This window comes from Homo sapiens, chromosome 2 (genome assembly GCF_000001405.40).
Source record: "Homo sapiens chromosome 2, GRCh38.p14 Primary Assembly".
Classification (NCBI taxonomy): Eukaryota; Metazoa; Chordata; class Mammalia; order Primates; family Hominidae; genus Homo; species Homo sapiens.
Genome location: NC_000002.12, coordinates 60,731,113 through 60,757,833, shown reverse-complemented (window position 1 = coordinate 60,757,833; position 26,721 = coordinate 60,731,113). Strand labels below are relative to the sequence as shown.

The 26,721-nt window shown below is 45.6% G+C and overlaps 1 protein-coding gene and 1 pseudogene across 4 annotated transcripts in view, besides 3 other annotated features; one reads left to right on the top strand and one right to left on the bottom strand.

Annotated features, from left to right (window-relative positions):
• Positions 1–1,566, bottom strand: part of PAPOLG (poly(A) polymerase gamma) — a 45,819-nt gene extending 44,253 nt beyond the window's left edge. For 3 of the 4 annotated variants that reach the window (XR_007080681.1, NM_022894.4, XM_005264500.5), the window contains exon 1: positions 1,339–1,566. Coding sequence is in view for 2 of the 4 variants with exons in the window: in NM_022894.4 (NP_075045.2) it covers positions 1,339–1,355 (17 nt within the window). In the remaining 2 variants the exon portion in view is untranslated. The remainder of the gene's footprint in view (positions 1–1,338) is intronic. The other variant, XM_005264501.3, reaches the window with a different exon arrangement.
• Positions 1,341–1,650: an enhancer, noted in NCBI's record as "active region_15817". NCBI's record gives its function as "activates an Ori minimal core promoter by ATAC-STARR-seq in GM12878 lymphoblastoid cells {active_cell/tissue: GM12878}" and the evidence as "EXISTENCE:reporter gene assay evidence [ECO:0000049][PMID:35858748]".
• Positions 14,709–15,672: an enhancer, noted in NCBI's record as "OCT4-NANOG-H3K4me1 hESC enhancer chr2:60969297-60970260 (GRCh37/hg19 assembly coordinates)". NCBI's record gives its function as "activates a minimal SCP1, AML or CMV promoter by ChIP-STARR-seq in naive H9 embryonic stem cells {active_cell/tissue: H9 hESC(naive)}" and the evidence as "EXISTENCE:reporter gene assay evidence [ECO:0000049][PMID:30033119]".
• Positions 21,706–21,904: a silencer, noted in NCBI's record as "fragment chr2:60963065-60963263 (GRCh37/hg19 assembly coordinates)". NCBI's record gives its function as "represses an EF-1alpha promoter that drives an FKBP-Casp9 reporter gene in an ReSE screen in HepG2 liver carcinoma cells {active_cell/tissue: HepG2}" and the evidence as "EXISTENCE:reporter gene assay evidence [ECO:0000049][PMID:32094911]".
• On the top strand, positions 21,909–23,444 carry ATP1B3P1 (ATPase Na+/K+ transporting subunit beta 3 pseudogene 1; annotated as a pseudogene).

Sequence of the window (26,721 nt, the reverse complement as noted above, 5' to 3'; positions counted from 1 at the left end):
AAACAACAGAATCCCACATTCCCTTCAAACCATCAATTTCACTTACAGGCAAACAACCTAGAGAAATTCTAGTTACAAGCGTACAAAGAGACACCTAAAAGAACGTTCACTGTCACATTGTAACATTAAAAACTTAGAAATAAAATAGTCACTAACAGGAAAAGAATTAAATTAGGGTGTTTTCCTACAATAGAATACAATACAATAATTAATATTAATTAATTACAACTAAAATACTAACATGAACAAAGCTCAGAGATACTATGTTGTGCTAAAGAAGTTACAGAATTCCAAGTGTGATACGAGTTATATAAAGTTTAAAAACAACTAGAACTATGCCAGTTATTATGAACACATGTGTATGTAGTAATAGCATTAAAAAACATGCAGCTCCCATGATTCGAGGGCGGAAAAAAAAGAAGTAAAATAAAAAACAGGCAGCAACGATAAACATCAAATTCAAGACTGTGGAGACATCTGGAGCAAGAGATGATTGGGACCAGAGAAGGAGGTAGGAGAGTCCTTCAGATGTATCTGGAATGCTTGATTTCTTTTTAAAATAAATACACAGATACGTATATACACACCGTGTGTGTGCGTGTGTGCATGTACGTGTATGTGTGTACAGTTACGTTTTGGGAGAAATGGGTGGTGGCTCCACAAATGATGCTTATGTTATTCTCTACATTTTTCTGCATGTTTAAATTATTTCCTAATAGACCAAAATGGAAGAAGCTACAACAAAATCTTGCCAAGTACGGGAACTGTTTCTGACTTATCAAAGTGTGAACAAGAGGTACAGACCGGTAGATGTTGTGGGTAGGTGGGGAAGCAGGGGGTGAGGGAGAGGGTGGGGACGGCGGTGAAAAGACTGTAGCCTCATATGAAAGAGAAACCCTTGGGCTGCGATAGGTCTTTCACTCCTGAAGACCTGGAGACAGCCGGTCGGGAAGGGAGGAGGGGGAGGCAGGGGGATGGTATTTGCGCCAATGCAGACAGGAGCAGACGGGCTCAGACAGTGCTGGGGGCAGGCGAGTGACCGACAATTTCTCCCTACGGACACAGGCACCTCTTTCCCTCCTCATCCTTTTCTGAGGGCGTCCTCGGAGGCGGGACAGCTGGGGACTCCCGGAGTCCCCGAGTCCGTGCAGGGGTGGCCAGGTGAGCCGCCGGGTTTAGGGGAGGTGCCCTTGCGGACCGGCCGGGAGCCGGGAAGGAGACCATCCCGGCGAGCTGCGTGCAGGGCGCAAGGGACAGGGAACGGAAACAAGGACACAGTCGGACCACCTCAGCTCACCCCTACCCGCCTCACCCCAACCGCCGCCCCCCACCACTTACGCAGACATCTCTTTCATCGCTTCCTGCGTCTCCCTCTCCAGCGAGTGTTTATCGCTCTGGAGTCCTGTTCTTGCTGTTCCCTTCTCCCCCTGTTCACTTTCCTCCGGTCGCTAGTAGCTCGCTTGCTCGCTCACTTTCCCACTTACTATGGCTGAGGCATCCAACCGAGTAGTGAAAACACCACAAAACCGGCTCTATTTATGACAATACAGCGCGGCCGACGCCAATATGGCGCCGCTTCCCAGCCTGCCTCTCGCAGGTCTCAGCCCCGCCCCTGGAGGTCTGGACCACCCTCAGCCACGCCCCCTCTGCCTTTAGGTCCCGGGAGGCTCCGGGGCCCCGCCCACAAGCTCAGGGCTCTCAGTATACCGTTGGTTCGAAGGAGTATTTATTTGGTACTCTCCTTTGTCCGCGGTACTGTCAATGCCGGTAGACCGCTTGGAAGGAAATTTGGAGATATGTTTTCCTTGCCTCTCGAATGGCAGCATATATCATACATTTTTTAAAAAGGTCACACCCTTGCCTAGCAAAAACTATTTCAACGCCTCCGTTATCCTACATCTTTGATTTAATTATAGTTATACATAATTAACTCACCAGTTGAGATTTTGTCTCGAAAGGGTCACACCCAGGAACATACGACTTTCACACAAGTATCCCAGGGAAAAACAAGCTTGTAAATTGGAGGCTTAACTGTTCACTTCACCCCTAAGTACCACCTTTGATTAGTGACATTCTGGCATTTAGCTGACAGAGGTTGAAAATAGTAGCTAGCAGTTTGCAATAGGATAAATCCCAGGCTGAAACAAAAATCTTACACTTTTAAATAGTGGAAATCATGTTCGATGTGAGTGTGGGGATGAAAATGAGAAAATAATAACCAATTTTAAAATGCTGAAAGGTAGAAGTAATTTCAAGCACTAAATCATTACAAAGAAAAGGAAGTCAAGAACTGCTTGCTCTTGAACATAACTCAGAGTCACAGTAAATAGAGGAGATTACTTGCTGATTAATTCATTAAAAAATATTTATTGAGGCAAGATACAGTGGCTCACACCTGTAATCCCAGCACTTTGGGAGGCCAAGGTGGGAGAATTGCTTGAGGCCAGGAGTTCGAGAACAGCCTGGGCAACATAGTGAGACCCTGTCACTACAAAAAGTTTTAAAAAAATTAGCTGGGCATGGTGGCCCATGCCTGTAGTCCCAGCTACTCAGGAGGCTGGGGTGGGAGGATCTCTTTGAGTCCAGGACGTGGAGGCTGCAGGAAACCAGGATGGCACCACTGCATTCCAGCCAGAGTGATAGAAGGAGACCCTGTCTCAAAAAAATAAATAAATAAATAAATAAATAAAAACTACAAAACATATTTTTGAAAACCTGAGCAAGGTGCAGTGGCTCTTGCCTGCAATCCCAGTGCTTTGTGACGCCAAGGCTGGTGGATCACTTGAGGCCATGAGTTCTATTAAGACCAGCCTGGCCAACATGGCAAAAACCCATCTCTACTTAAAAGCAACAACAAAAACCTGACGTGGCCTGGTGTGGTGGATCACACCTGTAATCCTAACATTTTGGGAGGCTGAGGCGGGTGGATCACTTGAGGTCAGGAGTTCGAGACCAGCCTGGCCAACATGGTGAAACCCCATCTCTACTAAAAATAGAAAAACTAGCTGGGTGCGTGGTGCGCCTGTGATCCCGGCTACTCAGCAGGGTGAGGCAGGAGAATTGCGTGAACCCGAGAGGCAGAGGTTTTTTTGAGATGGAGTCTCGCTCTGTTGCCCAGGCTGGGGTGCAGTGGCGTGATCTCTGCTCAGCCTCCTGAGTAGGTGGGATTACAGGCATGCACCACCACGTCCAGCTATATTTTTGTATTTTTAGTACAGACGGGGTTTCACCATGTGGGCCAGCTAGTCTCAAACTCCTGACATCAGGTAATCCGCCCACCTCGGCTTCCCAAAGTGCTAGGATTACAGATGTGAGCCACCACACCCAGCCAAGCAGTGTTTTATTATTTATTTATTTATTTATTTTTGAGATGGAGTCTTGCTCTGTCACCTAGGCTGCAGCACAGTGGCATGATCTTGGCTCACTGCATCCTCTGCCTCCTGGGTTCAAATGATTCTCCTGTCTCAGCCTCCCGAGTAGCTGGGACTACAGGCGTGCGCCACCACGCCTGGCTAATTTTTTGTATTTTAGAGATGGACTTTCACCATGTTGGCCGCACATCTCAGCCTCCCAAAGTGCTGGGATTACAGGCGTGAGCCACCGCTTCCAGCCTAATTTTTGTATTTTTAGTACAGACAGGGTTTCACCATATTGGTCAGGCTAGTCTTGAACTCCTGACCTCGTGATCCGCCAGCCTCAGCCTCCCAAAGTGCTGGGATTACAGGCGTGAGCCACCATGCCCGGCCACGGTGTTTTAATCAATTGCTTTTCTTCCCATTTTCCTGTCTTTGTTAATCTACCTGGGATTTAATGACAGTCCCTAACCCCCATCTCAATAAGGATACTGTATTTTTCCCAACCCCAATTTCAATAAGGACATTTTTCTTATTTGCAGTGTATATTGTAACTGTATTTGTTAAGTTAAAAATTTTCAAATGACAAAACTAACCCATGCGCATAAAAAAAAAGAGCGGACGTCTGTCCCTCCTTTCCATCTCTTGCCCAGGCTGGAGTGCAGTGATGTGATCTCAGCTCACTGCAACCTCCACCTTCCGGTTTCGAGTGATTCCCCTGCCTCAGCCTCCTGAGTAGCTGGGTTTACAGGTGCCCGCCACTATGCCCAGCTAATTTTTGTATTTTTAGTAGAGACAGCATTTTGCCATGTTGGCCAGGCTGGTCTTGAACTCCTGACCTCAGGTGATCCGCCTGCCTCGGCCTCCCAAAGTGCTGAGATTACAGGCGTGAGCCACCGTGCCCGGCCTGTATTTTATTTTTGAGACAGACTCTCCCTCTGTTGCCCAAGCTGGAGTGCAGTGCTGTGATCTTGGCTCACTGCAATGTCCATCTCCTGGGTTGAAGCCATTCTCCTGCCTCAGCCTCCCCAGTGGCTGGGATTACAGGTGCGCGCTACCATACCTGGCTAATTTTTGTATTTTTAGTAGAGATGGAGTTTCACCATGTTAGCTAGGTTGGTCTCAAACTCCTTTCCTCAAGTGATGTATCCGCCTAGGCCTCTTAAAGTGCTGGGATTACAGGCGCGAGCTACCTCGCCCCGCTGACATGTATATTGTAAAATAAAATTTATATACTTGAAATTGTCCTCTTAGAAGTTTATACCAGTATATGCTCCAATATGTATGTGATGATCTGTTTTCTCAAACATTCACAAATACTGGGTATTATTATTATTATTATTATTATTTTGAGACAGAGTTTCGTTCTTGTTGCCCAGGCTGGAGTGCAATGGCGCGATCTTGGCTCATTGCAACCTCCGTCCCCTGGGTTCAAGCGATTCTCCTGCCTTAGCCTCCCGACTAGCTGGGATTACAGGTGCCCACTGCCACGCTGGGCTAAGTTTTTGTATTTTTAGTAGAGACGGGGTTTTGCCATGTTGACCAGGCTGGTCTCAAACTCCTGACCTCATGTGATCCACCCTCCTTGGCCTCCCAAAGTGCTAGGATTACACGCATGAGCCACTGCACCTGGCCAAATATCTTTTTTTTTTTTTTTTTATGGCTGGATATGGTGGCTCCACGTGGTGGCTCCGGCCTGTAATCCCAGCATTTTGAGAGGCTGAAGCGCGTGAATCACTTGAGGCCAGGAGTTCCAGACCATCCTGGCCAACAGGGTGAAACCTGACCTCTACTAAAAATACAAAAATTAGCTGGTCATGGTAGTGCACGTCTGTAATCCCAGCCAGTTGGGAGGCTGAGGCACAAGAATTGAGTGAACCCGGAAGTGGAAGTTGCAGTGAGCCAGTACACTCCAGCCTGGGTAACAGAGGGATACTGTCTCAAAAAAAAAACCAAACCAAAACAAAACAAAAAACAAAAAACCAACCATAAAAGCAACTTTTGGCCAGGTACAGTGGCTCACACCTGCAATCCCAGCACTTTGGGAGGCCGAGGTGGGTTGATCACTTGAGGTCAGGAGTTCGAGACCAGCCTGGCCAACATGGTGAAACCCCGTCTCTACTAAAAATACAAAAAAATTAGCTGGGTGTGGTGGTGGGTGCCTGTAATCTCAGCTACTCTGGAGGCCGAGGCTGGAGAATGGCTTGAACCCAGGAGGCGGAGGTTGCGGTGAGCCGAGATCTCGCCATCGCATTCCAGCCAGGGCAACAAGAGTGAAACTTCGTCTCAAAAACAAACAAACAAAAAAACCCAAAAAACAACTTTTTAATTTGGCTGGTTGTGGTGGCTTATGGTTGCAATCCCAGTACTTTAGGAGACTAAGGCAGGAGGATCCCTTAAGCTCAGGAGTTGAGACCAGCCTGGACAACTGCAAAACCACAACTCTATTTAAAAAAAAAGTTTTTATGCTTATAAAAAAACTATAAATATACAGAAAAAGTAGAGAGAATAATATAATTAACACCATATACCCATCATGTAGAATTTTTTTAGCATTTGGTCATGTTTCACACATTTTTCAGTGAAATCTTTTTAAGTAAACACATAAAATTTTACTCCTAAATATTTTGATATGCATATCTAATGAGAACACTTTCCTGTACAACCATAATAATATTAATACACTCAAGTATTTCCACTTGTTGCCCAAATATCTTTTGCACCAAGCTTGTTTATAGTGTGATCCAATCAAGAAGTATGATTGCATTTGGTTGTTGGGTCTCTGAAATGGCTTTTTTTTCCTTAAAAGTATTTTTTAATTAGCTGGGCGTGGTGGCAGGTGCCTGTAATCCCAGCTACTTGGGAGGCTGAGGCAGGAGAATTGCTTGAGCTCGAGAGGTGGAGGTTGCAGTGAGCTGAGATCGCACCACTGTACCACTGCACTCCAGCCTGGGCGACAGAGCGAGACTGTCTCAGAAAAAAAAAAAAAAAAAAGGGGCTTTATTTTTTAAGAGCAGTTTTAGGTTCATAGCAAAATTGAGAAAAAAACAAGTATTTCCCATGTGCTGCCTCCCCCAAGACATGCATAGCCTCCTCCATTATCAACATCCTGAAATATATTTTAATCTAGAACAGACTTTCTCCCTAGCTTTTTATTTTTCCTGTGACATTGATTTGTAGAGAGTAGACTAGTATTTCCTTAGAATGTTCCAACTTCTAGATGTTTCTGGTTGTTTCCTTGTGGTGTCATTTAACAATAACCTCAGTATTTTCTATTAATGGAAGTTGGATCTAAAGGCTTGATTAGATTCAGGCTAAATACTGCATCATACTGGAAGGCACATAGTGAAGCTCTGTTTATCCCATTATTAATGATATTAAGATTGATCACTGGGTCTGTGTGGTGACAATCATCTTAGAACTCCTTAGTAAACTGCAGGGTGATAACTTTAGCACCAGATAAATATACAGCTCCCCAACCTTTCACCTAATTGTTTCAGCATCCATTGACAATTCGTGGCTTAATTAATTATTTCCCTAGGGATTGCAAATTGTGTTTTTTTTTTTTTCAATTCTGTCTACATTGATAGCTAGCCTTTTTCAGGAAAGAAGGGCTCTTGCTCATCAACTGCGCTATTAGGCTACTCCGCAATAGGTTACTGCAAATAACCTAATTCTTTCCCCTTTCAGATAAGAACTTGGTGGAATGGCCACCTGTAGAAAAGTTTTCGTTTATTTGCTTGCTTGTTTTACTCCTCCTCCTCTTTTTTTAATTTTTAAGTATTCTATGGACACAGGGATATTTATTTATTTATTTGAGACAGAGTCTAGCTCTGTTGCCCAGGCTGGAGTGCAATGGCACAATCTCGGCTCACTGCAACCTCCGCCTCCCAGGTTCAAGTGATTCTCCCTCCTCAGTCTCCTGAGTAGCTGGGAGTACAGGCATGTGTCAACATGCCTGGCTAAGTTTGTATTTTTAGTAGAGATAGGTTTTTGCCATATTGGCCACACTGGTCTCAAACTCCTGACCTCAAGTGATCTGCCCACCTCTGCCTCCCAAAGTGCTGGGGGATTACAGGTGTGAGTCATCGCACCTGGCCCGACTCATGGATTTTTATATAGTCAGTGTGTTTCAATTTGTTACAGGCATTGTTCTTTTGATGCTAAAATCGTCCCAACTTTGGCCAATAAATGCCTCTGTCAAGCGGCTGGTTCTATTAATTTTTTTTTTTCTTTGAGGTAGAGTCTCACTCTGTCGCCCAGGCTGGAGTGTAGTGGCATGATCTTGGCTCACTGCAACCTCCACCTTCCAGGTTCAAGCGATTCTTCCACCTCAGCCTCCCAAGTAGCTGGGATTACAGGCGCCTGCCACCATGCCCAGCTAATTTTTGTATTTTTAGTAGAAATGGGGTTTCTCCATGTTAGCCAGGTTGGTCTTGAACTCCTGACCTCAGGTGATCTGCTTGCCTCAGTCTCCCAAAGTGTTGGGATTACAGGTGTGAGCCACGGAGCCCAGCCAGTAGTTTTTAAAAATTTAAAAAATCAATCTGACAGGTTGGAGAATGCTATTTCTTTGTGATTTTAACTTGCAGATCCCTCATCAGTGGTGAAAGGTGAGCATCTTTCATATTTTACCAGTGGTGAATATCTTTCATATTTTACCAGCCATTTATATTTCTTACTCTGTGGATTGCCTATTCATATATTTTGTCCATTTTCCTATTGGTATAACTATGTATATGTATATATAACTAATTATCAACACTCATCTCTACAGATGAACTGTTTTCAGTGCTCACTGCCAATCTCTTCCAGCTACAACTTTCCTATTCTTGAATTTTTTCTTTTGATCATTTCCTGCTCTAGAATGGCAGCTTATTCAGAAAAGGGATACATTTTCTTCTGGCTTATTTGAAAATGCCCTTCTACTACATGATAACATTTTCTTCAGAGCTTGATAGATGTTTTATTATTAGCTGTTGTATCTTAGACATTGTAAAGATTCTTCCTTTTTTGAGACAGGGTCTTGCTTTGCTGGCCAGGCTGGAGTGCAGTGGCATGATCATGGCTCACTGCAGCCTTAACAACTGGGACTCAAGCGATCTTCTTGCCTCAGATTCTCCTGACTCAGCCTCCAGAGTAGCTAAGACTATAGGTGCACACCACCATGCCTGGTTAATTTTTTTTTTTTTCATTTTTAGTAGGGACCGGTCTTGCCATGCTGCCCAGGCTAGTTTTGAATTCCTGGCCTCAAGTGATTCTCCCACCTCAGCCTCCTGAAATGCTGGGGTTACAGGCATTAGCCAGTGTGCCCAGTGAAATTCTTATTTTTGAAGTTTAAAAATTCCTCCAAATTAGGCCTTTTTCCTAGAAATGTGTACAGAACAAGCTAAACATTCTTTTTTTCTGAGTATTTTTTTAAAGATTAGATACATTCTTTTTTGTTGTTGTTCTGCTATAAAAAGTATTACTGCTTCTATTCCATTCATTGGCTCTTTTATTTTTTAAAAGTTCATTCAGATAAACAGAATTGCAACATGGAAGAATGTTAAAATGTTAGTACAAGTAATTCATGGAGAAAAATCTTTAAAAATTATTATCTTGGCTGGGCGTGGTGGTTCACACCTGTAATCCCAGCACTTTGGGAGGCCAAGGTAGGGGGATCACCTGAGGACAGGAGTTCGAGACCAGCCTGATCAACATGGTAAAACCTCATCTCTACTAAAAATACAAAATTAGCCAGGCATGGTGGCTCATGCCTGTAATCCCAGCTACTTGGGAGGCTGAGGCAGAAGAATTGCTTGAACCGGGGACGCAGAGGTTGCAGTGAACCGAGATCATGCCATTGTACTCCAGCTTGGGCAACAAGAGTGAAACTGCATCTCAAAAAAAAAAAAAAATTATCTTAACTTTTGTAACTATCTACTGGGTTGTTTACTTGTCTGTAGGACAGGGACCATCTCAGTCTTGTACACTGGGTCATCCTCAGAACTTAGCACAGCTGCTCAATAAATATTCATTGAATGAATTCAACTATTATTTTCTCTCTTATATCTGCCTTTATCTCATCATTTCTCCATCTTTTGCCCCAACTGATAGACTATGTCTACCTTGCCTTCTCCCTCACTAACTTAATAAATATTCTGATGTGTCTGAATGTTATACAATTACTCCATTGAAACTTTTTCATCTCTGGACTCTTTCATTGACTTGGAGAATTTCTTTTTTTCGGCAGATTATTGTAGCATGGTATTGCTTGCACTGGTCATTAGCAGGTCAATATGGTGGGCTGTGAGCACTTTTTAAAGAATGAATAGAAAAGCGTGGTGATCCTACTTGACAGTAGGATCCTCCAAAAACAATCTTGGGAGCTAGTGCTAGGGTTGCCTGCATGTTGTGCCAGGTGGGGCTAAGGTCTCCCCTTCTATCAACAGGAGGGAGCCTGCACTTAGCTTCTCCCAGGATGGCTTTCTGCTGGGTTGCTGGCTTTCCCAGACAACTAAACAGCTGGCAGCTAAACTCAGCCACGCTGGCTCTAAATAGTCTCTGTGTCCACATTCTGACACATTTTAAGAGGGTGTCATCTCAGGGGGCACACATCCTTCCATTGGAACACATATAGCACATAGCCTTAGCAACCCTCTGGGATGATGGGAGAGTCTGCGACTATGTCCTCTCTTGGTGACCCTTGGCTTGTATGTTTCTCCATTAAAGCCTGTTCCTTAACTCAAGCTGAATGACCATGTGAAATTCATCCCAAGCCCTGTTGCACAATGGGTGGCAACCATGAAGGGAATCCCTACTCACTTTGAACAACCCAAATAAAATGAAAAATACATATTGTTAAATGGGCTCCAAGAGGATTCATGTCTGGTCTTACTTGGTCGATTTTGAACAAATAGGAGCTGAGCTGGATGTTGTCAGAAATTGATGTGGATCCCCAACCAATTTTTCTTTTTGAGACAAGGTCTTCCTGGAGTGCAGTGGTGTGATTATGGCTTACTGCAACCTCTGCCTCCGTGGCTCAAGTAATCCTCCCACCTCAGCCTCCAAGGGTAGCTGGGACCACACATGTGCAACCATGCCAGGCTAATTTTTTTTATTTATTTTTAGTTTTTTAGTTTTTGTAGAGATGAGATCTCCCTATGTTGCCCATGCTGGTCTCTAACTCTTGGGCTCAAGTGATCCACCTGCCTCAGCCTCCCAAAGTGCTGGGATTACAGCCATGAGCCACTGCACCTGGACTCCCAATAAAAATTTTAATGGTAGGACATCAGATCCAGATAAAATAAAAAAGAATAAAGCTGGCAGTAGTGAAATCTCAGAAATGTAGTAGAATTCTTATAAAATTGTGAGGGAGGAGCAGAGTAGAATGGGGAAGGTAGAGTGATAGCTGAAGCCATGTTTCTAATGTGAGTAGGATTGCTAGGAAAAGGACTCTCTCCTTTAAGGTTTTATACTTAGATGGCTAATTTGTGCCTCGTTGAGACCTCAGAACCACCACTAAGGGTGTCAGAAGAGGAAAGGACATCCAAGTGTTGCAATTCCTAAAAGGACTGTCAACAAACTTTTCTTTTAGCCCCCTGTGACAGGGGGGTAGAGTGTAAGGTATATAAATGTTCTTTGGTCAAGGATAGGCTGAGGCAGACGTCCGGCCCACTTGACTCAGTTGAGTTTGGTGTGCAGGCACACACCTCCACTTATTGTATAACCTGTTTGTGTAAATTCATACTTAGCTCTGAGCCACTGTTGTCTGTAAAAGATATAATTGCCCTGCTAATGCTGTATAGGAGCCCTTAGGGCTCGGCTTGGCTCAACATGGCTTGACATGGCAGGTGCTCTGGGGCCCAGAGAAAGAGAGAGACAGCCAAAGGTGTCCGTCTTGCAGACAGACAGGAGGGAGCCAGGATACAGCTCTGCTTGCTTGTGCCGAGAGAGAGAACAAGCTGTTGCCCTGAAGGCAAAGGAGAGCCGGCCACACAGCTGTGTGTGGAAGCTGCCAACTCAAGCAGCTGAGACAGGGTGGACAGTGTGAGAGAGACAGCGTGAGAAAGCTGTCGATGACAGCTACTGCTGAATAAAATAATCTCTCACCTGCCTACGGCCCCCTGAGTATTTCTGCTCATCCATCCATTCCCCTCGGACTTCAGTATGGGCTGGGCCCGGACCCCAGGATCTGAAAATTGACAAGTATGGGATGAGATGAGTGGGTCTTCAGCCCCTGAGGGCTCCTGAGTTGGCTATGTGGCCGTGGCATGGGCTGTGGAACTGGGTGGCAGCAGTGGTGCTTGGATGAGCCCCAGTGGAAACATGGGAGGCAATGGATGGGTCCCCTGCAAGTGTGGAGAAGGCGCTGAAGCACCTGGAATTACACAGCACTGAGAAGAAGCATGCCTTTACCGGCAGAGTCAGATGGGCATTTGTGACTGTGCGGCAGGAAGTGCATGCCCAGTCCATGTGGGATGCAGGAAGGAGGAAGAACCTCTGTGGCAGGCTAGCCCTGTGGTCTGCCAGGAAATATGGCATGAGCAGCTGTTAGGCCCCAAGAGTGGGCCGAGAGACACACCCCACTACCGTGGTGAAGCACATTTCCTGTGGTGTCTGTGCCCCTGCTGAGTTGTGGGGGTGAGGCAAGTAATGTCGGCAGTCATATACAGATTTAGTGCAAATCATTCAGGAGAAGGACATTCCTTCTTCCCAATGTGCAACCCGCTCCTGCCTGAGCGTTCCAGTTTAGAGAGTACCTGCTGCAGTCAGGCAGAAGTGTAAAGCCTTTTCTGTTTGATAAGAGACTGGCCAAGATGCATGGCTGAGGGGTTACTGGACAACCAGAGCTACCTGTGGACTTGGCAATCCACTGGTCCCTGAACCTGGGTAAGTTTCTGGGCAGAGCCACATTTATTGACGGCTATGAAGACTGGTCAGTGAAAGTGAAACCTGTATCTCTACATCTTGGCTTCAGCCGCTTGGCTCTCTGCTTAGGCACTGTGTATGTCTGTTCCATACCCGAAGACATTCTGGGGTGGATGTTTTGCACAGGTTAGTAGCTGTGCTGTCTGTCACGGACTTGATGGACCACTTGACAATGGAACTGGGACAGTCCACCGAGAGCCAGGAACAGTATGCCTTCATGGGAGGGCAACAATGGACTTTTACAGTGTTGCCGCAGGGCTATATGTATAGCCCCACCATGCGTCATGATTCTATCAATAATGTTATGCCAACCTCTGATTTTCTTGCAGGTTTAGAAGCAGTAGCACCCTTCTTGCCTGAGAATGGGATAATGAGGCTGAGACAGCTTTTCTGGGTAGTAAACCAAGGGTGCCCATTCATGTAACCACATTCATGTAGATATACATGTAACCACAGATAGTTTTGGATAGGGTCTATAGCAATGCATGGAGCACTTGGAAGCGCCAGTGGGCTGTTAGCTGTTAGCTGAGCTCCGGTGTTCATTAATAAAGAAGCAGTTAGTGACTGCATATGCTGCCCTTCAGGCTCATAAGAACATAGCAGGATGGGTTACAGTTGTCGTGCAGACAACTTACCTGGTAGCAGGATGGGTGTGTTCATAGGTAATGATCCCCTGGACTGGGACAACACAGACATCTACTTTAGTGAAGTGGGCTGCCTACTTAGAACAGCAGAATATGCTGAGTACAAGTCCCTTAGCAGCAGAGTTACAAGAAGCCTTAGGACCTGTAGTCCTGATGCAAGATAAGGTCATGGGGCCTGAGGCACTCCTTGATCCTGAGCCTTCACCATTAGTAAGGGCATCCTCCCATTCCTAATAGGCATGGTACAATGCTAAGTCTAGCTGGGGTGCTATTGCTGCCTGGACTCCTGGTGCAGTCCAGCCTAGTACTAACACCATATGGTTTGATACCAGGTGTAGACAGAGTAGCTAATGAGCTAAACTCAGGGCAGTGTGAATAATCTCCAAGAGGGTGACAGCTATGGTAATCTGTGATGATAGGCAATTTATTGAAGCTTATGTATGTAATAGGCCTGTGTGACCAGAGCCTCTGTCTAAGGCCTGTATGACAGTCTGATGTGTCAAGCCTGTGTATGTATATTGGGCCTCTGTGCCCAAAGCTTATGTGTGTCAAGCCTGTGTACCGGGCCTGTGTGCCCAAACCCTATGTCTCTCTTGGCCTAGGGGGTGGACGGTAAGGTATATGGATGTGCTTTGGTCAAGGATAGGCCTTGGATGACCCAGCAAGTTTGGCACGCCCTCCACTTGTTATATGACCTTTGTGTAAGTTCGTACTTGGCTCTGAGCTACTATTGTCTGTAAAAGGTGTAATTGCCCTGCTAATGCTGTACAGGGGCTTTGGGGCCCAGTTTGGCTCAACATGGCTTGACGTGGCCGAGAAAGAGAGAGAGAGAGAAAGAGAGAGCCAAAGCTGTCTGTCTTGTAGACAGATAGGAGGGAGCCAGGACATAGCTCAGCTTGCTCGTGCCCAGGGAGAGAACAAGTTAAGCCGCTGACCCTGAAGGCAAAGGAGAGCTGGTCATACCTGTGTGTGGGAGCTGCCAGCTCAAGTAGCTGAGACAGGGTGGACAGTGTGAGAGAGACAGTGTGAGAAAGCTGCTGATGAGAGCCGCCGCTGAATAAAATCATCTCTCACCTGCCTACTGCCCCCTGAGTATTCTTTCTGCTCATCCACCCACTCCCCTCGGACTTCAGCATAGGCCGAACCCAGGCCCTGGGATCTGACAGGCCTCTACCACTCCATGTTATGGATGTCAGAGGGCACCTTGTAGCATCTCTGGTTTACGTTGATAATTTGTTGTCTCCGAGGAAAGATTCCCTTGCGTGGTTTGGTTTTTATTTTGTTACCCAGTTCATTCAGCATGGTTTAATTTAGCATAAATTCCTGGGTTTTTTTGTGGGTTTTTTTTTTTTTTTTTTGAGTCGGAGTCTCACTGTCCCCAGGCTGGAGTGCAGTGGTGCGATCTCGGCTCACTGCAACTTCTGCCTCCCAGGTTCAAGCAATTCTCCTGCCTCAGCCTCCCGAGTAGCTGGGACTACAGGTGTGCATCACCATGCCCAGCTAATTTTTGTATTTTTAGTAGAGACAGTGTTTCACTATGTTGGCCTGGATGGTCTCGATCTCCTGACCTCGTGATCCGCCTGCCTTGGCCTCCCAGAGTGCTGGGATTACAGGCGTGTGAGCCACCACGCCCAGCTTCCTGTGTTTCTAATATGAAATTTCCGTGGCTGGTGCAGATGTTTGTACAACTTGTAGCTTTTTTTTTTTCTTAAAGTTTGGTGCAAAGTCAGGTATCTATTCATTTTCCTGTACCTAGAACGGTAAAGTCCTGGATATGCTTTAAGTAATTCAAGAGCCCATTGATTAGATGAGTTTGCCCTCAGAAAAACTTCCAAGTCTCTGGATTTTCATGATTTATGTTTGTAAGGTGAGGCTCCCTGTTTTCTTGCATTAAAAAACCCACTAACTTCATTGGAAGAGCCTTTGCTCTGTGAGCTTAGATGCGTCAAACCAAACAAGGTAGCGATCCACAGCTTTCCTAGGAGGCATCTTAACTACTGAAGTTAAGGAACTCAGTCATCCTTCTCAAACGTTTGTTCTCCACACATTAGGAAGGGCAGAAAAAGTCTTTATTCCAATGTTAAAACTTTCCCCCAGAACTCAGGGGATTAATGTATAAACTCAGTGGACAGGGAGGTAGGTTTTCTGCTTCCCTCCAAATTGAAGCCGAGATTAATTACGGTATTCACCTATTCCTGAAACATGCTGGTTAATGGTTCCTAGCTGTGCACTCCCCGAAGCAGCACTGGTCCCACAGTTCTTAGCGGACTCACTTGCTTTGATCAACTCATTCTCTCTCAGCAGGCCAAAACACTAGCCACAGGACACAAGTGCTTAGTTTACAATCATGTTAATTTTGCTTTTTGTTTGTCTTCAGTGGTTGGAGATTAATGAGTAAAAAGGGTGTTTAAATTTTCAACCAGCTTTCTTCTAATCACTTGGCTGCATTGTCACTGGCAGTTTTATTACTTTGATTCCCTGAATCAATCAGGTGTACAGTTTCTATGTCCAATGTAGGTTATGGTGCAGGAAAAGACAGTCCTACCAGGAATTACTGCTGTTGCTCTGGATTCCAGGAAGGCCTACTGTGAAAATGCTTAAGCACTGTTGTAGGACTTTTCTTTTTTCTTTTGAGACAAAGTCTCGCTCTGTTGCCCAGGGTGGAGTGCAGTGGTGTGATCTCGACTCACTGCAACCTCCACCTCCCAGGTTCAAGCGATTCTCCTGCCTCAGCCTCCCGAGTAGCTGGGATTACAGGTGTGCACCACCACACCCAGCTAATTTTTGTATTTTTAGTAGAGACAGGGTTTCACCATGTTGACCAGGCTGGTCTCAAACTCCTGACCTCAAGTGATCCACCCACTTTGGCCTCCCAAAGTGCTGAGATTACAGATTTGAGCCATGAGCCGGGCCTATATTTATTATTATTTGGAGACAGGGTCTTACCATGTTGCCCAGGTGGGAGTGCAGTAGCTATTCACAGGCATGATCATAGCTCACTGCAGCCTCGAATTCCTGGCCTCAAATTGAAAGATTCTCTCCGGGCCCTGAAAGCTTAAGGGAATGAATAACTCCTCCCTCTTCAGGCCCAGTCCCAAGGCGCAAGGCCACTTGTGCCAGCAGCATGCGTCAGTAAGATAGCAGAAGCAGGAAGAGAGCTGGCCGAAAGACACGAACCCCCGAAGACGGGAGAGAGGCTGTGTGGGTGCTGCGTAGCAGTTACCTCAGACTGAGACACTTCCTGATTACAGGAGACTATAAAACCCCTGCCCCGTCCTCTTTTGGTGCTGACGCCATATTAGGCCTCAGCCCACCTGCACTGAGGTGCTCATTAAAACAGTGTGTTGCTCCACACCACCTCGTGTTTGTTGGTGCCCTCTGAGGGTTCGAATCCATACAAGAGCCTTGCACAAATGATTCTCCTTTTTCAGCCTCCAGGATAGGTGAGATTACAGGCAAGTGCCACCTGGACTGGATTATTCCTTGCATTTTTAAGAAATCTGACATTTTCTAAACATTTTACAAAGGATGTTGCTATGGCCATTTCTCATAGTTAGGGAATCAAATTAGTTTGTCTGTTGGAATGGTGAAAGTTAATTAAGAATTTGAAGTAGGCTGAGCATGGTGGCTCACACCTGTAATCCCAGCACTTTGGGAGGCCGAGGCTGGTGGATCACCTGAGGTCAGGAGTTCGAGACCAGCCTGACCAACATGGAGAAACCCCATCTCTACTAAAAATACAAAAAATTATCCAGCCTTGGTGGCACATGCCTGTAATCCCAGCTACTCGGGAGGCTGAGGCAGGAGAATCACTTGAACCCGGGAGGCAGAGGTTGCAGTGAGCCGAGATTGCGCCATTGCACTCCAGCCTGGGCAACAAGAGTGAAACTCCGTCTCAAAAAAAAAAAAAAAAAAAAAAGAAAAAGAATTTGAAGTAAATTCATTAGAAGATGAGTTTGTTGCTACTTCAACTCCTCATCCTGTTTTCCTAACTGAGGAAAACGAACTCCATTCTGTTGCAGGTTTTCTTCAGTGTATGCTTCCTGGTGTATACAGAAACAAACCTAGCCTGGATGATTCTCTCTCAAAGAGGTCTCGTATCAGAGAAATCCCCCTCAGGTCTAATACATTGTAATGGAGATTTTGTACACAAATTGCAGCTGACTATGCCTTGCTCCCGGCAGTAAGGGACAAGGCTAGCTTTGCTTTCACATAGTGAGGACTTCCGGAGTGCAAACCTGATCACAATACTTCTTGCCTTCACATTTTTAAATGTTCCCTATGGCCTCTGGATGATACTCTCACAAGTTTATAGACGCCTCTCTCCACTGTGAGTTCCTTCTGGAACAGTGGCTTCTTTCTTTATCATTGTGCTGCCAGCTCCTAAAACAGTCCTGGGGACAGGAGGTCCTCACTGAAGAAATATTTAAGGCATTGAGGAAAGAACTTCATCCTGATGCCTTGGCATGAAGATGCATTCAGAGGTCCCAGGGGTGTAATGACATTTCTCAGGACCTCAAGCCTGGGTGATGTGTGACATTCATTTCTCAAGCCCACAGGGGCTCTCCCTTACCCTTCAAAATCCCAGGGAGGGTATCTGAGAGAAGCTTAAGAACTTCTTTTAGGCCAGCTGCGGTGGCTCAGGCTTATAACCTCAGCACTTTGGGCGGCTGAGGCAGGAGGATCGCTTGAGCCCAGGAATTTGAGACCAGCCTGGACAACATAGTAAGTCCTTGTCTCTACTAAAAATAAACTATTAGCCAGATGTGGTGGTGCGTGCCTGTGGTCCCAGCTACTCAGGAGGCTGAGGCAGGACAGCCTGAGCTGGGGGAGGTCAAAGTTACAGCAAGCAGTGATTGCACCACTGCATTCCAGCCTGGGTGACAGAGTGAGACCCTGACTTAAAAAAAAAAAAAGCCGGGTACGGGGGCTGTTGCCTGTAATACCAGCATTTGGGAGGCTGAGTGGGGAGGATTGCTTGAGCTCGGGAGTTGGAGACCAGCCTGGGCAATGTGGAGTCCTATCTAGGGAAAAAGAGTCAGGCTGGCAAGACCAAAAGAAAGCAGAAAGAGAAAGCAGATAACCTGTTGGTCTGCCTTTCTTCATGGTCCAGGATATGTAGCCCTCCTATATCCAATTTATCACAAGACACCTGTAGATTAATTAGCTCATTGCAACGTTGGTGTTATCAGCACTGCTCTAAGCCCTTGTCAGCAGACAGTACCATCCTATAAAATCCCCAGCAAGCCTTTGTCTCCTTGCAGTCTGCCCCTCTCTTGCTGACCTGCCCCTTGCACCGTTGCAATGTATTTTCATACTTTCTCTAATAAATCTGCCTTTCTTTACCAACAACTGTCTTGGTAAATTCCTTTGCCGCCCGCATGATAGCAGTCTCAGATAGTTGCCACTCACCTGCAACAGGCAACATGGTGAAACCCCATCTCTACAAAAAATACAAAAATCGGCTGGGGGTGGTGGCGCGTGCCTGTGCTCCCAGCTACTTGGTGGGGCTGAGGAGGGAGGATTACTTGTGCCCAAGAGGTTGAGGCTGCAGTGAGCCATGTTTGCACTGCTGCCCTCCAGCCAAAGAAACAAGAAACAAAGAAAAACCTTGTCTTTAAGAGCAAGGATTGTGGGACTCCAGAGTGTGGCTGTGCATGAAACGCAATGAAGTGGGCAATATGCTGCTGGGGGCAGAGAAAAAAAGGACATGTGTGACCTAACACAAAAGCTAGAGCTGGGTCTAATGGCAAAGATGACTATCAGGCTGCTTGTGGGACTTGTGGGATGCTGCTACGGCAAGCTGCATTTTCTAAGATTGCCATGACAGTATGTATCTGATTCCACGTGTTCTCCTTACAGTGTGACTGGATATTTCTCCAATGAGAGATGGGTCTATGTTCCCTACCCTTAAACCTGAGTAACCTTTTGTGTCTACCTCAACCAAAAAAAATCTGGTGGAATGATGCCATGTGACTTCTAAGATTAGGTCATAAAAGATTAGGTCATAAAACAGCTTCTCCCTGCCTCTCTGTTAGGGTACCTGCCTTGGGAAACCCTGAGCTGTTACGTAAATCTAACTACCTTCAAGCTGCCTTGCTGGACACACCACACAGAGTTAGAAGGGGATGTCTGAGGAGCCGCAGGTGTTCCAGTACCTAGCTGTTGGAGTCTCCTCAGCATAGGCACCAGGCATGTAAGTGAAGAAACCTTTGAGATAAGCTAACCCCAACCAGTCAGTCTGCAATTTCATGAGAGACCTTGAGCAGAACTGCCCTTGAGCTGCTCTAGAATTCTTGACACATAGAAACGGTGAGAGGTAAAAATGATGATTGTTGTTCAAAACAATTAATTTTATGGGTGATTTGTTACATAGTCATAGTGTTTGGGAAAAGGAACTAGACACATTTACCAAAATTGACCATAACCTGGGCCAAATCGTAGTTAGGTTTTAAAAAAACCATTTGGGGTAATTGCAATTTAGTCTTTTTTTTTTTTTTTGAGACGGAGTTTCACTGTTGTTTGCCCAGGCTGGAGTGCAATGGCGCCATCTTGGCTCACTGCAACCTCTGCCTCCTGGGTTCAAGCAATTCTCCTCCCTCAGCCTCCCAAGTAGCTGGAATTACAGGTGTGCACCACCACGCCTGGCTAATTTTTGTATTTTAGTAGAGATTGGGTTTCACCACGTTGCCCAGGCTAGTCTCGAATTTCTTATCTCAGGTGATCCACCCTCCTCAGCCTCCCAAAGTGCTGGGATTACAGGCAGGAGCCACGGTGCCCGGCTGCAATTTACTCTTAAAAATAAGAACCTAGGTGCCAGGTGCAGTGGCTCATGCCTATAATCCCAGCACTTCGGGAGGCCAAGGAGGGTGGACTGCCTGAGGTCAGGAGTTTGAGACCAGCCTGGTGGTGAAACCCCATTTCTACTAAAATACAAAAATTAGCCAGGCATGGTGGCAGGCACCTGTAATCCCAGCTATTTGGGAGGCTGAAGCAGGAGAATCACTTGAACTCGGGAGGCAGGGGTTGTAGTGAGCCGAGACGGAGCTACCGCACTCCAGCCTGGGCAACAGAGCCAGACTCCATCTCAAAAAAAAAAAAGAAAGAAAGAACCTAGGCTGATTGCCATGGCTCATGCCTGTAATCCTGGCATTTTGGGAGGATGAGGCAGGCAAATCACTTGAGGCAGGGAGTTTGAGACCATGGCAAAACCCCTTCTCTACTAAAAAATACAAAAACAAGCCAGATGTGGTGGCACATCCCTGTAATCCCAGCACTTTGGGAGGCTGAGGAGGGTGGATCACTTGAGGCCAGGAGTTTGAGACTAGCCTGGCCAACATGGTGAAACTCCATCTCTACAAAAAATATAAAAATTAGCCAGGTGTGGTGGCACATGCCTGTAATCCTAGCTACTCAGGTGGCTGAGGCACGAGAATCCCTTGAACCTGAGGGATGGAGGCTGTAGTGAGCTGAGATTGCTCCACTGCACTGCAGACTGGGCAACAGAGCAATACTCAATCTCAAACAAAACAAAACAAAACAAAAAACCCGCAAAACAAACAAAAAAACTGGCTGATGCAGGAGGATCATTTGAACCCAGGAGTTTGAGGCTGCAGTGAGCCGTGATCACACTACTGCACTTCAGCTTGAGGGACAGAGTAAGACCCTGTCTCTCAAAAAAAAAAAAAAAAAGAGAAAAAAGAAAAAAAGAGAAAAGCGTAGTGGTTCATGCCTGTAATCCCAGAACTTTGGGAGGCCGAGACAGGTAGATCACCTGAGGTCAGGATTTCTAGACCAGGCTGACCAACATGGTGAAACCCTGTCTCTACTAAAAATACAAAATTAGCTGGGTGTAGTGGTGCATGTCCATAATCCTAGATACTCAGGAGGCTGAGGAAGGAGAATTGCCTGAACCTGGGAGGCAGAGGTTGCTGTGAGCCGAGGCTGTGCCACTGCACTCCAGCCTGGGAGATGGAGCAAGATTTTCTCTCCAAAAAAAAAAAAAAAAAAAGTCTAATGTCAATGGATAGAAAAGATCTTTCCTAATCTGATAAGTGACTCAATGAAAAACTATAGCAAATATCATATTAAATAGTAAAATAGTAGTAAAATATCAAAGTTTTTCCTCTTGAAGTTGGGAGCAAGACAATGATAACCACTATCTCTACCTTGTCCTAGCAAATACAGAAGGTAAGAAAAAAACAAAATGTATAAGGCTCAAAACAGAAGGAAAAAACTGTCATTATATGGAATTGACATACTTGTATGTCAAGAAAATTCAAAATAATCTACAGAAAAATTATTAGAATAAAAATAATTTTAAAAGAATTAAAACATTAAAGGCCGAGTGCAGTGGCTCACGCCTGTAATCTCAGTACTTTGGGAGGCCGAGGCGGGCGGATCACCTGAGGTTGGGGGTTCGAGACCAGACCAACAAGGAGAAACCCCGTCTCTCCTAAAAATACAAAATTAGCCAGGCGTGGTTGTGTATGCCTGTAATCCCAGCTACTCGGGAGGCTGAGGCAGGAGAAACGCTTGAACCTGGGAGGTGGAGGTTGTAGAGAGCCGAGATTGAGCCATTGCACTCCAGCCTGGGCAACAAGAGTGAAACTCTGTCTCAAAAAAAAATTCTTTTTAAATAAATAAAAAAGAAAGAAAAAGACTGATGAACTATTCTACAGTAAAGAAGCCTAAAGAGACATGATGTGGTATAAAAGGTATTTGGTTTCTTTCTGCCCCAGAACTCCTAAAATCCTAGAAATTTCCTGAGTGCTAGGAGGATCTTCTGTTATTCATAATTAGCTCCTTTGATAAGTCCTGAGTTTATGCTAATGAACCTGCTTAGGGCGGGGCCCGTAGATAGCTTCAGGATGGGGCTAGTCACCAGAAAGTCCAGGTGATTAGAGGATTAGAGGATTGGAACTTAAGCCCCACCCACCAACATCTGGAAGGGCTGAGGGTGCAAGAAATTTAGCTCTATTAAAAATTTAAACACTGCAGTCGGCTCGAGTACTCCCAGTAACGAGGAGGTGTTCTCGGTCGTCCCACCCTCCCCTGCCGTCGCCGGGCTGCGCCGCCGGAGCCGGGACGCGCCTCCGCTGCCCTCGCCTCCTCCGTCCCCGCTGCCCTCGCCGCCCCCGTCCCCGCTGCCCTCGCCGCCTCCGTCCCCGCGGCCGCCGCTCCCCTCGTCGTCCGCGCGCACACGATGAAGAAGGAGTCCCTCAACCAGAGCCTCGCCGAGTGGAAGCTCTTCATCTACAACCCGACCACCGGAGAGTTCCTGTGGCGCACCGCCAAGAGCTGGGGTTTGATCTTGCTCTTCTACCTAATTTTTTATGGGTTCCTGGCTGCACTCTTCTCATTCACGATGTGGGTTATGCTTCAGACTCAACGATGAGGTTCCAAAATACCGTGACCAGATTCTTAACCCAGGACTGATGGTTTTTCCAAAACCAGTCACTGCATTGGAATATGCATTCAGTAGGTCTGATCTAACTTCGTATGCAGGGTACACTGAAGACCTTAAGAAGTTTCTAAAACCATATACTTTAGAAGAACAGAAAAACCTCACAGTCTGTCCTGATGGAGCACTTTTTGAACAGAAGGGTCCAGTTTATGTTGCTTGTCAATCTCCCATTTCGTTACTTCAAGCATGCCGTGGTATGAATGATCTTGATTTCGGCTATTCTCAAAGAAACCCTTGTATTCTTGTGAAAATGAACAGAATAATTGGATTAAAGTCTGAAGGAGTGCCAAGGATAGATTGTGTTTCGAAGAATGAAGATATACCAAATGTAGCAGTTTATCCTCATAATGGAATTATAGACTTAAAATATTTCCCATATTATGGGGAAAAACTGCATGTGGGGTATCTACAGCCATTGGTTGCTGTTCAGGTCAGCTTTGCTCCTAACGATACTGGGAAAGAAGTAACAGTTGAATGCAAGATTGATGGATCAGCCAACCTTAAAAGTCAGGATGATCGTGACAAGTTTTTGGGACGAGTTATGTTCAAAATCACAGCATGTGCATAGTATGAGTAGGATGTCTCCACAGAGTAAATTTTGTGTTGTCTGTCTTCATTTTGTATCAGCTGGACCTTCCATTCTAGAATTATGAGACCACCTTGGAGAAAGGTGTGTGGTACATGACACTGGGTTACATCATAACGTGCTTCCAGATCATAGTGTTCAATGTCCTCTGAAGTAACTGCCTCTTGCCTCTGCTGCCCTTTGAACCAGTGTACAGTCACCAGATAGGGACCGGTGAACACCTGATTCCAAACATGTAGGATGGGGGTCTTGTCCTCTTTTTATGTGGTTTAATTGCCAAGTGTCTAAAGCTTAATATGCTGTGCTATGTAAATATTTTATGGCTATAACACTGTCATATTTTGATGTCAACAGAGTTTTAGGGATAAAATGGTACCCGGCCAACATCAAGTGACTTTATAGCTGCAAGAAATCTGGTATGTGGAGAAGTTCTGCATGTGAGGAAGGAAAAAAAGACAATAAAAATGTATTTGAAAAATATTTTTAAAAAAATTTAAACACTAAGATTTGATGAATTTCCTTTCTGCTGAACACCTGGAGGTGCTGGGAGGGAGGCACACCCACAGGTCGTGGCAGCACCACACCCCTCCCCCCGTACTTTGCCATATCCATCTCTTCATCTGGATGTTCATCTGTATCTTATGATTTTTTTTTTTTGAGACAGAATCTTGCTCTCTTGCCCAGGCTGGATTGCAGAGGCACGATCATGGCTCACTGCAACCTCTGCCTCCCAAGTAGCTGGGATTACAGGTACGTACCACCACGCCTGGCTAATTTTTGTATTTTTTCTACAGATGGGATTTCACCATGGTGGCTAGGCTGGCCTTGAACTCCTGACCTCATGTAATCCACCCACCTTGGCCTCCCAAAGTGTTGGGATTACAGGCCCAAGCCACTGTGCCTGGCAAAGACCCTGTCTTTTTTTTTTTTTTTTTTTTTTGAGACGGAGTCTCACTCTGTTGCCCTGGCTGGAGTGCAGTGGTGCGATCTCAGCTCACTGCAACCTCTGCCTCATGAGTTCAAGCAATTCTCCTGCCTCAGCCTCGTGAGTAGCTGGGATTACAGGCGCCTGCCACCACGCCCAGCTAATTTTTGTATTTTTAGTAGAGACGGGGTTTCACCATGTTGGCCAGGCTGGTCTCGAACTCCTGACCTCATGATTCGCCTGCCTTGGCCTCCCAAAGTGCTGGGATTATAGGTGTGAGCCACCACGCCTGGCCAAGACCCTGTCTTAAAAAAAAAAAAAGGCAGGGCGTGGTGGCTGACACCTATAATCCCAGCACTTTGGGAGGCCAAGGCGGGCATATCACTTGAGCCCGGAAGTTTGAGACCAGCTTGGCCAACATGGTGAAACCCATCTCTACTAAAAATACAAAAATTATCTGGGCATCGTGGCGCGCACCTGTAATCTCAGCTACTCAGGAGGCAGAGGCAGGAGAATCGCTTGAACCCAGGAGGTGGAGGTTGCATCACGCCATTGCACCCCAGACTGGGCGACAGGGCAGGACTCTGTCTCAAAAAAAAAAAAAAAAAAAACACACAAAACGCCTGTAATCCCAGCACTTTGGAAGCCTTGAACCTGGAAGGCAGAGGTTGCGGTGAGCCAAGATTGCACCATTGCACTCCAGCCTGGGCAACAAGAGCGAAACTGTCTCAAAAAAAAGATAGAGTCTTGATCTGTTGCCTAGGCTGGAGTGCAGTGGCATGATCTTGGCTCACTGCAACCCCCACATCCCAGGTTCAAGTGATTCTCCCACCTCAGCCTTCCAAGTAGCTGGGATTACAGGTGTGAGCCACCATGCCCGTCTCATGGCGGACGTACAAAAAATTTTTGTATTTTTAGTAGAGAAGGGATTTCACCACGTTGGCCAGACTGGTCTCCAACTCCTGGCCTCAGTAATCCACCTGTCTTGGCCTCCCAAACTGCTAGGATTAGGCAGGATAATAGGACCTGGAGGCAGGGAACCTAAGGACTTCCGAGAACTAAATCAAATGGAAACATCTCATCTATGACAGGAAATATCCTTCTCATTTACATAGGCTGTACAGTGAGTAAATGATTTTGTAACTTTACTTCATCCTCTTCATTTACATAGGGTGTACGTCAAGTAACCAATGGAAACCTCTAGAAGGTATTTAAACCCCAGAAAATTCTGTAACGAGGCTCTTGACCCCCTATGCTCAGGCCTGCTTTCACCCTCTGGAGTATACTTTCATTTTCGAGAAATCTCTGCTTTTGTTGCTTCATTCTTTACTTGCTTTGTTTGTGCATTTTGTCCAATTCTTTGTTCAAGACGCCAAGAACCTGGACACCCTCAACCGGTAACAGGACTACAGGCATGAGCCGCCACGCCCGGCCTATGATATCTTTTATAATAAACTGGCAATGTGTTTCCCTGAATTCTGTGAACTGTCTTAGCAAATTAGTCAAACCCAAGGAGGAGGTCGCAGGAACCCTGGTTTCTAGCCAGTCAGAAGTACCAGTGGCCTAAGGATAGCGTCAGAATTTTCATTCACTCATTCATTCATTTACTTATCGTTCTTGTGGGTACATAGTAGGTGTATGTATTTCTGGAGTACATGAGATATTTTGGTACAGGCATGCAATGTATGGCTCAGAATTGAACTGAATTACGGGACACCCTGATGGAGAATCCACTGAAGGATTGCTTAGTGGGATAAAATCCCCACACATTTTGGTGGCCAAGGGTCTCAGAAGTCTTCTCTGTTGATTGTGAGATTAAAGGCCAAAAAATAACGGTTTTTATTTTTTGTAGAAATGGGGTCTCCACCTGTCACCCAGGCTGGTCTTGAATTCCTGGCCTCAAGCAATCCTCCCACCTCACATCATTGTACTGGGCTTGGTTTTTCTTTTGACGCATGACAACTAAGTGCAATATGGGATGCTGGATTGAATTCTGGACCAAGGTTTTAAAAAACTTTTTTTATTTTGCTACAGGGGACATTAGTGAGATAACTAATGAAATTTAGATAAAGTACACAGATTATAGTACTGTGTCAGTGTTAATTTCATGATTTTCATAACTGTATTGTGATTATGTAAGGGAATATCATTGTTTTTACAAAGTTATTTAGAGGTAAAGTGGCATCATGTCGGCAATTTACTCAAATGTATAAACAGAGGGGCCAGGTGGGGTGGCACACGCCTGTAATCCCAGCACGTTGGGAGGCCAAGGCAGCTGGATACTTGAGGTCAGAAGTACAAGACTAGCCTGACCAACATGGTGAAACCTCATCTGTACTAAAAATACAAAAATTAGTTGGGTGCGGTGGTGCACTTCTGTAATCCCAGCTACTTGGGAGGTTGAAGCACAAGAATCATTTGAACCCGAAAGGCCAAGCTTGCAGTGAGCTGAGATCCCAGCTGAGGTGCGCAGACTGCTTGAACCCAGGAGGTCAAAGTTGCAGTAAGCTATGATCATGCCACTGTACTCCAGCCTGGGTGACAGAGTGAGACCCCATCTGTAAAAAAAAATAAATAAATAAATTGGTATGATCACTTTGGAAAGCTGTTAGTATACTCAATTGAACACACACGTACCCTAAGACACAGCAATTTTACTACTAAATATATGTCCTGCAGAAATATGCACACAGATGCACCAAAAGACATATACAGGAATATAATTCACATCAGCCCCAAACTGGATACAACCCAAAAATAGAATGGATAAGTAAAATGTGGCATATTTATAGAACTGAACACTACTGGCAATAAAAATGAATGAACTGCAACTA